The sequence below is a fragment of the Homo sapiens genome, chromosome 3, assembly GCF_000001405.40.
Source record: "Homo sapiens chromosome 3, GRCh38.p14 Primary Assembly".
Taxonomy (NCBI): Eukaryota; Metazoa; Chordata; class Mammalia; order Primates; family Hominidae; genus Homo; species Homo sapiens.
In genome coordinates, this window is record NC_000003.12 from 17,958,355 (window position 1) to 17,970,581 (window position 12,227).

The following is a 12,227-nucleotide window of genomic DNA, read 5'->3' on the forward strand; positions in this document are numbered from 1 at the left end:
GACATTGTTTTTCTGCTTAATGAAGTTACCTTGCTTTTCTGACTTGCTACTAATTTTTATCATGAATAGGTTTTAAATTTTGTTGAAATATTTGTATCCACTGAGATTATCTTATATTCTTATCTTTTGTTTATTTTTTATTGTGATTGATTATGTGACTTCTATAACTAAATCAGACTTGCATTCCTGGGATAAACCTAACTTGATTAAGATGAGTTACTTCAAATAAAATTATAGATCCGGATTCAGTCTGCTAATATTTTAAAAAGTTTATATCCATATTTGTGAGTGATATAGGCCTGCATTTTCCTTTTCTATCAGGGCCTTGTATAATTTCAATATCAAGATAATACTACCTCCATAAAGTGAGTTGGGAAATGATCCTTCTTTTTGTATTCACTGTATAAACTTAAAAATGTTGCTCCCTGAAAATTTAGGACAGTTCACCTATTCAACAATCTGAAACTTGGTGGGTTTTGGTGGAAGATTTTTTAACTATGGTGTTTTAAAAGGTTAACTAGATTATTGATATTTTTGGTTTCTTCTTGAGTCAGTTTTATTAAGTTGTGTATTTTTAACGGAATTTGTCCCCTTCATTTAAGTTGTTGCTTATTGGCCTAATACTGTTCAGGATATCCTGATTTTTAAAAATTTTCTGTGTCTGAATTTGTAACCCCATTTCCATTTATAATATTGTTTATTTGTGCTTCTTTTTTCTTTACCAATCTCACCATAAATTGGACTATTTTATTAGTATTTTAAAAAATCAACTTCTCATTTTGTTGTTTAATATTATGTCTCATTTTTAATGAATTACTTTTAATGATTATTTTATATTATTAAAATTTTTTCTTCTACTTCATTAATTCATGGATTTTGTATTTATAACTTTTAATTTGGACACTTTGTTCACTAAATTTCAGCTTTTCTGCTTTTCTATTATAGACCTTAAAAAATGGCTCTGCATTTCATTTATTTTGACTTGTGTTTTAAAATTTGTATTTTATTTTTCTCTAATCTCTGAGCATTTAGAAGTATATTTTAAATGTTAATAAATACTATTTTAAGTTATTCTTTTAATATATTTTAAATGATATTGCATTTTGGTGAGGGAGTATGGAATATATGATACGTATTTTTTTGAAATTTATTAATACTTTGTGCCCTGATACTTGATTAATTTTTGTAAATGCTCTATATGTGTTGAAGATAATAGCATTCTTTAATTGGAGCAAGGTTCTTTCAATGTCCATTAAATTCAGCCTGTTAATTTTGCTATTCAAATCTATATTTCTACTAATTTCGACCTTTTAATTAGTAAGATAAATTTTAAAAATCTCCTATTAGAATGGTGAATTTATTAATTTCTTCTTGTAATCTTATGTATTTCAAGGCTATTTTATTTGGTACAATAAATTTTTTAATCGTTTTCTCTTTCTGGTCTGAGATATATGTATACACTCTTGTCTCTGTCTCTGTCTGTCTGTCGGTCTCTCTTTTTCTATATGTCAATTTTTTATCCCTAATAATGCTTTCTTGCCCTAAGGACTGTGATATGATATAATATGGCTATTCTTCCTTTTGATCAGCACTTGTCTGCCGTATTTCTGTATGCTTTTATTTTCCACTTTTCCATTTCTGTGCATGTAGGTGTATATCTTGTAAACAACATAGAGCTAAATTTCTGTTTTCCAGTTTGATTTACTGTAATTTTATTGATAATATAGCACTTTTTTTATTCTTGTCTTCATTCTGTTTTTAAGTGTATCCTGTTTTTCCCCTAGATTCGATTTTTCTTCTTATTTAAATTTTTTTCTTAATTTTTCCCCTCTATTAGTTTAGAATTTATATTCCATTTCTTTTTGGTTAGTGATCAGCCTTTAACTATTAACCAAGTTTACAAAGTCTAAATTTAATCAGTATCTTTCTCATGATTCTGTTCAATGCAATGACCTATACCAGTGTTCTGTCTTTTCTGTCTGGATGTTTTTAAGATGTTCTCTCTATAGTGTCATTTTGTAATTTTACTTCAGTATTTCTTAACGTATGGGTCATTGTGTTGACTTTGTGTTCTCAGTTTAGAATTTCCTTAATTGTACAGTTAATATAAATTATAAATAAAATTATTCTTATATCTGGAGCCAAGATTGGGTGAGACAGCTTTTTCTAATGACTTCCTTTGGGGCAGGCAAGTAGATCTTTTTTTCTAGATCATCCTCTCATCGAGATTGTGGCCTCTTTGAGGGTCCAATTATTATGTAGGGGTTTGAATTCAGCTTATTTACATTGTTCAGTCTTGTGGCCTAGTCTTTCATTTTGGTGGAGACCATTGATTTCCACATCTCTAGGTTCACATGTTGACTTTTACCCCCAGGACTGTCTTGACTACCAAGTTTTCTTAGCACTCTGATTTCAATTCTTTGTTTAATCTTATTTTATTTTTGCCCCAGTGATTTCCCTTTATTTTATTGTGAGCTCAATAATGTATTTAAAAACAAGTTTATTGTACTATATTCAGCAGAAGGTATTTTGCAATGGACCATCTTTTTCCCTTAGAATATTTAAGCCATCATATTGCCAGAAGTGGAAGACTCCCATCTTGCAATAGATTCTTAATCAGCCTCTGTTTCCACTCTTTTTCTTCCTCAATTCATTCTCCATAAAGTAACTGGAATAATATTTTTACAGTATCAATCAAGTCATGTTATACAAGAATAAAATTAAACTCTTTAACTTGGTACACAAGGCCTATGTGACCTGGCCATGCCTACCTCTTCAAACTCACCTTCCACCTATCCTCCACACCGACTTTCATCATCCACATTGTCTCTCATTCTCTTCCTTCACAGGCCGATCATATCCTTGCCTTAGATCTTTTATTGATCTGTCTCCTGTGCCTAAAATGTTCTCTTCCAAAATCTTTGTGGCCTAGTTCCATCTATCATTCATATTTCAACACAAATGTCACTTTTTCAGAGAAGACCTCCTTGACTATTCCATCTGAAGTTGCCCATCCACAATTTCACATCACCCTGGTTGTTTTTCACAGTACTTACTGCCATCTGAAATTATCTTATTTATTAGTTTACTTGTTAATTATCTCTCTCTTCCTACTAAGATATTAGCTCCATAGAACGGGGAGATGATTTATTAATATGTGACCAGTGCCTAGATAGTTTAAATATTCAATATACATTTATCACATAAAATTCATTAAAATAATATGTATTGAATACCTGCTATGAGCCAGACACTGTTCTAGGTGCTGAGGATACATACATGAAATGAACAAATAAAGATTCCTGCCTCGTAGTTCTTACGTTCTAAAGGGGTGGATAGACATTAAATAATAAGCATACCACATAAATAAATTATAGAGTATGGTGAAAGGTCATATGGCAATGGAAAAAGAAAAGTAAGGTGGAATAGTGGGGAGGGACAGGTTGCAATTTTGAATAGAATAGATTAGGCCTTATTGAGAAAGTGATACAAAAGCTGGGTGGGTGTCTGGGAAAAGAACATTTCAGACAGAGAGAACAGCATGTGCTAAGGTCCTAAGGAGTCCAAGTGGTGGGAATAAAGTGAGAGGGTGAGAGGAGATGAATTTAGGGAGGCAGCTGGAGGCCAAAGTATAAAGCCTTGTAGGCTATTATAAGGATTTTGGTTTTTCCTCTGAGTGAAGTGGGAGCCACTGGAGAATTTTGAGCTGAAGAACGACACAATCTGACTTACATTCTAAAAGGATGTCTCTGGCTGCTGTGTTGAGAACAGGCATGGGGCAAGGATAGAAGTAGAGAGACCTATGAAGAGGCAGTTACAATAACCCAGGTTATTGATTGTTTTGATTAAGTCTAGTAGCAGTAGAGGTGGTGAGAAGTGACTGGATTCCAGAAAGATTTTGAAGATTGAGCCAACAGGATTTGCTAACAGTACAGACATGGCTTCTGAAAGAAAGAGAGGCATCAGTTATGTTACTAACAACTAGAGGAATGGAGTTGTTACCAGTTGATAGAAAGACCATGGGTGAGATAGGTTTGGGGTAAAAGATCAAGAGTTTTGGACCTGTCGAATTTAAACACACAAGTGATAATATTGAGTAGGCAGTTGGAGTTCAGAACAGGGCTCTGGGGAGGAGGTACAAATTTGGGAGTAGTTAGCATAGAGGCGGTATTTAAAATTCAGGGAGTGAATGTGTGTAGAGAAGAGAAGAAGACCAAGGACTGAGCACTGGGAGACTCCAATGGGGAGAAGGGGAGGAACAAGCAAAAAGATGGAGAAAAAGCTACCACCAGTGACCTAGGAGAACCAGGGGGCTGGCATCCTGCAGCCACATGCACATGGTGAGTGATCTTTCATACACTCCTGTAAATGTATAATTTTTGAAATTTCTATAAATGTAAGCCTAAAATGAGGGCTATTGAATTAGTTTTCTAATGTATACATTTTGTAATAACAAAAATTCTGTTCAGAGGAGAAACCCTTCACAATTTCCAAGACCAAGTGATGTGTAAGTTAAGATTTTGTAGGACGTAAATGTGCATATTTTAACCTGGTTTCTGTAAAGGTCTTACCTCTGTTGTTTTGACTCTCCTTGTGGGTAGGGATGGTCCCTTGGTCAATTGTCCCTTTTTGTCTTTGCTGGGGTTATAATTATCATGGGACTGAATGTGACTTAAGACCTCCATTTTTCCTGTCTGAGGTCTTTTTGCTGTTTCTGTTGCAATAAAAAGGATTCTAGAGAAAGAACATATAGAAATGTGATGGAATGGCCAGCTTCTCATTGGTAACTTAGCCTTGGCTTGCACTTTGATAGATTTCAGGATGGTTTCTAATTGTCCTGTATTTTGAATATGAAACTGGATTGGAAGGCACTTTTTTAGGTTCTCAATTGAATTTCATCAAACTCACTATGTTGGTTTTGCAAGTTCCTGCCATCACTCGACACACACAAACCCTCAACACACACACAAACACACACACAAAAACCCTCAACACATGCAAACCTAGCACATAGTAGGTATTCAGTAAATGTTTGTTCAGTTGAGTTGGAAGAGGTTCCCTTTCTAATATGGCAGATGCTACTTTCAAAATAACAGAAGACTTTATTTTGAAATGCTATCAACTTCCGGAAGTGGGTTGTTGCTTTAACACTGTATACACGTATATATACTCTGGTAAACGTGATGGTAAAGCATATCTAAGTTACACATTATCACCTCCAAAAATTAAAGTAGTTTATCCCTGTTGGTTTTCCTTTCCCATTAAAGTCATTATCTGTTCACAGAGCAGCATTAGCAGCTGAAAAGACATGACAGGGAATTGAACAAATTGAACATTCATAGTAGACAGATTTTCTCCTTCTGTGTGTGTGGATTGGACATGGCTGTGAACAGTTGGAGGTCAGACCATCACTAATATGTATAAAACTTTTGATGATAATTTACCATTTAAAAATATATTAATTTTTGGCAGAGGTGTGAACATCTTTGTCTTGCCTACAGCTTTATTTCCTGTGATACACAGAGAGCTAAAATCCACAGCGGGCCAATTTGAAAAGCAAGAAAACTTTTTCTTCATTAAAGCCCCATTTTGTTTCTTGGTGAAAGTACGTATATGAATTTCATTTTCACTCACGAAAAAGGCCTGTGCAAAAGACTGAAATAATCAGTTAGGAAAAGAGGGATCTTATGGATTGAAATAGCCATCCTGTTTTGGCTACATTTAATGGGTTTCCCCACACTGGTCCTTTCAGTTGCCATTTTGGCTGTGCCTACTCAACCTCTAACAAATGTCTTGTAAAAGAACAAAAGGACGCATATGAATTATGAGTGGCAATGCCTTAGTATGTTAGTAGACTGTACATTTTAAAAAGAGCCATCTTCTCTTCAACTGTTGTGAAACAGATGTCTCTACCACTAAGTGGTGGGTTAGGGTTGTGGTTAGGACTGGTGTTAGGAGACAGTTGAGGTAAGAAAAGAAGAGTGAGCAATACTCAGCTAAAGGTCTCTTTCCACCTAGCAACTGGCTATGCTTTTCCATTGGCAGTTAAAGACTGTCTGGCCTTTAACTCTTTTCTAACACCAGGTATCCAAACTACATCAGAAGAGTAAATATTGTTTGTAAGCAGAATGGCACATTTTGGAAGTGCTTGCTTTATGTGGTATATGCATTTATGAAGAAACAAAAGTAAAGAAGGGATTTTATTTCATTATTGCAACAAAACACAATTATTTTTGACATGTTGACATCTGACATAAAATGTCATTGCTATATCATCTCTGAATAAATCTTTCTGTTGGTTTTGCTGAAAGTCCTTAAGCCAATTTCTGTTTCTCTTTTATTCTCTTTGTTCTACGTGGTAGCCTTTAAGTTTGCAGACTGGGGTTGATTTTTAAAATAATGTTCTTATTAAAATAAAATAAAATAAATAAAAACTCCTTAAACATTTAAGAGTCATAGTCCCCAGACAAGACAGGCATTAAATTAGCATTTGATGTTGATTTTCTTGAGTTCTTTTTTTTTCTTTCTCTGATAGTAAAGCAATACTTTCAGGTGAACAATGGCTCTGGGAACTCCCCAGAAAAACATTTCGAAGCGTTTTTTCCTCAAATATGTTGCTTAAAAGAATTTAGTATGCCATTAAAGATTAAAAATCCTACTAGTAAACTATGAAATAATATTTGGGAGAGATTCCAGAAACTGTGATGGCACCTAACCCAGTGAGGCACCCAACCCTGTGTCCTTTCTTCATAGTAAACATGTGGGACCAAGTCACAAGTGTTTGTTATTGTGCTCCTTGCTCTAGACTTAGCTCCTTTGAACATAGGGTCCCTCTTCTTTGAACCCTAGCCTTTTGTATTAATAGTTGGTGCCCCATAAATGATATTAACTCACCATAAAAATATTAATTTTTGACAGAGATGTAAAGCTTGTCTTGTCAAAACTTTATTTTTTTAATCATCCATATAGAGATTAAAATCTGTATGGAGATAAATTTTAATTTGAAAAGCAAGTTATTTTTTCTAAAATGACACACTATTATCATGGGTCCAGCCCATGATAAAGAAAACTAGAAGTCATGACCCCTTCCTTCCTTCAAGGTGACCACCATCATTTAAATAATACTTACATGGCAACTACTAAATTGCAAGGCAGTATAATCAATGCGGAGAACTGTGGTAGAAACCATGAATGATGAATGAACTGGAGAAAAAGAAAGGTCCTTGTAAAGTTTCATAACTGAAGCTAAGCCTTGAAAAGAATGTTGGTGAAGAAAGTTAGCCTGATAAAAGGGAATAATTCAAGCAAAAGCATTGTGATTAGAAGAAAAATAGTAAAATTAGAGTCATGAGTGGAGTGTGGTATTTGCTTCATGCTAGGGAATAGTGAGATAGTTACAATTACCTTGAGAAGCCTTTTTTCCCCCCCCAGATTATGTAAGAATTGCACTTAGAATGCTGAAGGCCTGTGCCTGTTTTATTTATCAATCATTCAGGTATTCTGCTGAACAAACTTTAGAACATAAGAGGTCATGTGAGAATAATTAAGAAGATGTTAATGTTTGACCTTAGTATTTACTAATTTGGGTTTTTCTTTTTTTTTTTTTTTTTTTTTTGAGACAGAGTCTCACTCTATCACCCAGGCTATAGTGCAATGGTGGCATCTTGGCTCACTGCAACCTCTGCCTCCCAGGTTCAATCGATTCTCCTGCCTCAGCCTCCTGAGTAGCTGGGATTACAGGTGCCTGCCACCACACCTGGCTGATTTTTGTGGTTTTAGTAGAGACGGGGTTTCACCATGTTGGTCAGGCTGATCTTGAACACCTGACCTCGTGATCTGCCCACCTTGGCCTCCTAAAGTGCTAGGATTACAGGCGTGAGCCACCGTGCTGAGCCTAATTTGCATTTTTAATGGGAAAATGAAAGCCTAGTAATATTAGTAAATAAAATGTCCTTCCTTTTTATCTTGAAAGCCTTACATATAACATCCTCAAGTTTACCCATCTTCTACAAGACATGAAGTGACAAAATCAAGATCTCCATGAGGACAAGAGGTTTTGTATTTTCTTACCAAAAATAAACTGTGCTTGAGTTTTTCTGGTTGACAGGTCTGCGCATTAATTTGAGTAAGGCAAGAGGAGCCCCACCACAGTGAAGGGTCTCTGTGTCCTCCATGGCTTCTTTATTTTCTTCTTCCTGCCTCTTCATTCACCTCATGTGAATGGACAAAAGGATTCTACTCTTTTATTTCTAATCTCTGACGTTTCAAGAAATTATAATATCTAGGTAGTGGATTTTACTAATGCTGGCATCTTACCTCTTTGGTTTTGTCACAGTTTTCCCAGTTGAACAACCACAACAATACTGCCTTATAAATAGAAGACTAGGTCTTTTAAAGCCTACTACAAATCCCCAGGGTTGAAAGGGCTTACTCAACTCATAACCCATATGATATCTCAGGCTATTCCATTACCTTCTGCATCCCCCACCCCATTCCACACATTCTATTGATGATTTTTTTCTAGAAACTAAATAAAAGCAAATAATAATAGGGAAGTTATAATCAGAAGGTTAGTAATGAGTATTAAACAAATTGCCAGCTTGGTTTTAATGTGAGGATATGGGACATAGAAGAGAAGCAGAAGGAGACCTGGCCATGTTAACCTTGTGAAAAAATGGACTGCGGACAGGAATAGCAGGGTTTTTCTTTTCTTTTCTTTTCTTTTTTTTTTTTGAGAGGAAAATGGGAAAAATAGTTCTGAGGGTTGGATCCAGCTTTTTCTTTTTGCAGGAATTCTGTTGTCCCTTTAGAAAATATAAAAGCCGTTCCAAGGCACATTGGCACCCATGTGGCACTGCAGTCTTCTCTTGGCACTGCCTCATCCTGTTGCTGGCAGGACAGAGCATGGACCTCTTTAGCCTCATCCTCTGTTGTTTTCTGCACAGGAGCCAAACATTGTGGCTACTCGCGAGGCAAGGCTGGCAGCTGAAGAACCCAGATGCCAAGCTCTGGACTGGACTTCTGTTCTGTTTGTGGCTGGTCCCTTCCCTGGCATCTGCCCTGGCTTTGCAGCAGCCTGTGTCCCCGTCTGCAGAGCTGGGCTCAGGATTAGGCTTCTGTTGGCTCTCATAGATGTTCGATCACTGTTTCCCTTTTGAATTATCCTTGATTATGAGGAATGTGCCTTTATGACACATTCCTCCCCGGGTGACTGCTCAGACGATGTGCCTGCTCCTCGCTAAAAAGGGGGTTTCTCTCAAATTACCAGTAATTGTTAGTAAGAAAGCTTGTGCAATGGGAACATTTTTTTACAGGTAGGAAGATGTGAAGTGAAATACAAAATCTTGTATCTCAAACACAAATTTTTACTGTTTTTCTTATTGAGAGGAAAGCTTCTGAATTAAGTCAAACAAACAAAAAATCAAATAACCCCAGCAACATGAGAATTTCCAGAAGATTCTTCTTTCTGTTTTAATTCATCTAAATTTCTGCCCCACATCCTTATCCAGAGACTTTTGACTTACAAAAGGTAGCGGGGCCAGGCCGGGAGGGCGGGGGCTGGGTTCTCCAGGTCACAAGAGGTAGTAACATTTATAGTATTTGTCAACAAATAGACAGATAAACATAGTTATAGTATTTGTCAACAAATAAGCTCAGAGACTGTAAGTCTAGGGTCCAAACTTCCCTCAGTGGGGGAGGAATACTGGACCATGTTCTGCTAGTAGAGGTGGAGAGGGTAGGAGGAGGAAGCCAATAAGCCTGATTGCCCCCTGATGGGGTGCAGGGATAGTTCTGCTGGTAATAGGAAGCCTCGTGCTTGCCTAGGAAGTGAAAATCAACTTGAGAACTTCACCAACTAGAAGGTAAGCTAAGTATAAATGAAGGCAATTCAGAAATACCTCTGGAATATCTTTACATCTGAGAGCCTTCTGACATTTGTTTACACTCTAGAATCTTTTGCATCAGAATTATAGACACAGTTCAAAGAGAAAGATGAATTACAGCAAAATAGAAGGTGCTTTGCTTTACGAAGCATAATGTCTTAAATGACCTATCAGGAATTTGAGCAATTTCAGACTGAAATCACAAATCTGTCATCCTGTCTAGATGAATGCTTATTTATTGCTCAATTTCTGCAGCTGGAAAAGGATTTTGTCCCAATGGCTCCCAATGGCAGTCTCTCCAGCTTCATGAAATCTCAGTGAAAGTCAAGTCAGATAGATCTGAATTCTAGTCTCAGTTCTGCTCTTTGTTAAATTCCTGACCTTCAGTAAACTCTCAGTTTGTTCCTCTATAAAATGGGAGAAATAACAGTACCTATCTCATGGAGCTACTGGCAGTGTTACATGACAAATTCATGGCACAAAGTATGGCACAGAATCAGACCTAAATAGATGTTGGCTAGTGTTAAGATTTTCCATAGGCTAGGGTGGGAAGAATACCACTCATCAATCTTTAGAGCTGCATCATTTTTATCTCGTTGGGTGACCATCAGATTTATTGACTATATTGCTTCTAATGAGGCAGAAAAAACTGTGTTATGGAGACACTTTGGACTACAAATAACATGGTGCCAGACAGGGCACACAATGATTAAAATTGCTCAGTGAAACCGTGGGCAGGATAGACTTCAGGTTTATCCCCCTGAATGTATTATTTTAGAAAATTAAGCTGAGATATAGCCAGTTCGTAAATTACCAACAAAATAGGCATCTCCTGAGGTGGCCACCAAAGGGAATTTAAAAACCTACGATATATAGGTACTGGGGAAATAGATCCATTAAATGGATACTCTCTGGATTTGAAAATGTGGCCATGCCCACACAGAAAATAAACAGTTGATCCATGCAGATGGCGTTAGCAGATGCAAAGCACCCTGGGAAGGGGCAGTAGTCATTAAGCAGAGCTTCAGCGTCATTCATTGGCTCTAGAAATGCGATCCCATCTTTAAGTCTAGAGTATAAAGCGAGGGCTGGTACTTTTTTTTTTCTGTAAAAGGACAGATAGTAAATATTTAGACTTTGCAGGTCATATGGTCTCTAAGGAGTGTAATGTAAAGCACCCACAGACAATATGCAAACAGTTAAACATGCTTGTGTTCCAATAAAACTTTATTTATAAAACTGGACAGCAGCAGGATTTGGCATATCCATGGGTCATAGTTCTCTGATCTCTAGCATAAGGGGTTAAAAATCTGCTAAGTCAATCTTCAGAATTTTATTTTGTAATAAACTTTTAGGTAGCTCACATAGTTCCTAAACAAGGCACCTCTCATTTCTTATTTATTTCTGGTTAGCAGTTCATTGAACTAAGACGCATGAGGATTTTAAGGGATTTGAGGAAAGGGCTCAGAGACTGTAAGCCTGGGGTCCAAACTTAAGGGTCAGACACGTGAGAAGCAGGCCCTAATAAGATGATAGAGACTGGAAGCATGGGTCGGATGCTAGAGAAAGAGCTGGCCATTGCCATAGGGAGCTTGGACCACTGTTTCAGATTTTCCAATTTTTCAAAAGAAGCCAGAAACAAACAAACAAACAACCTCCTGATTTTTTAATAATGGCTTACCAGTTTTAAAAGCACTGTGCAACCCTACCAAAACATATATGTGATTGAAATCCGGCTTTCAGGCTGGTAGTTTGTGACCTTTGCTTTCAGCCCAGAGCTTTCCACCTCTGAAAACTGCTAGTTGCCTTGAAACGGAGCTGTAGGTTTTTCCAAGCATAGTCTGAGATCTACAAGGACTGATCAGACTTATGCCTGCTTCCTTAAAGTCACCCCTCTATTTCAAAACTGTCTACCCCACAGTGGCACCACAAAGCTCTGCCTGACAGTATGTTCAAGGTATGCCAAGCATGCCCAATAATATCTATAGATAGATAGGATTTCATTAGAATTTGAACTGCCTGAAGGAAAGGGCAAGACTTGGCAGCCTGTTCATTACAATAAAGATTTATGGACGACCAACTCAGAAAATTCAGAGAGAAATGAGTCCATGTCGAATCTGAAATTGTCCAGCTCTGCTTGAATGTGCTAAATCCTTCTTTATCTCATTCCTGCTCTTTGTGTTTGGCAGATTTAGCTCTATGATTCAATAGAAACTATTCTCTTTTCCTAATATGAAAACTTCATTTTATTCTAAACTCTAATAATTTGAGACTTTTTTCTGTGTTGGGTATAAACAGAAATTACCTTTTCACCACTTGAAAGTTTAATTCCCTAGTTTTAAT

The 12,227-nt window shown here is 36.7% G+C and overlaps 1 long non-coding RNA gene across 1 annotated transcript in view; it reads left to right on the forward strand.

Moving 5' to 3' along the window:
• Positions 1 to 4,197: 4,197 nt before the first annotated feature.
• BALR6 (B-cell acute lymphoblastic leukemia associated long RNA 6) overlaps positions 4,198 to 12,227 on the forward strand; it is a 306,371-nt gene continuing 298,341 nt past the window's right edge. Inside the window, exon 1 of the long non-coding RNA NR_161333.1 lies at positions 4,198 to 4,340. This is a non-coding gene — a long non-coding RNA (B-cell acute lymphoblastic leukemia associated long RNA 6). The remainder of the gene's footprint in view (positions 4,341 to 12,227) is intronic.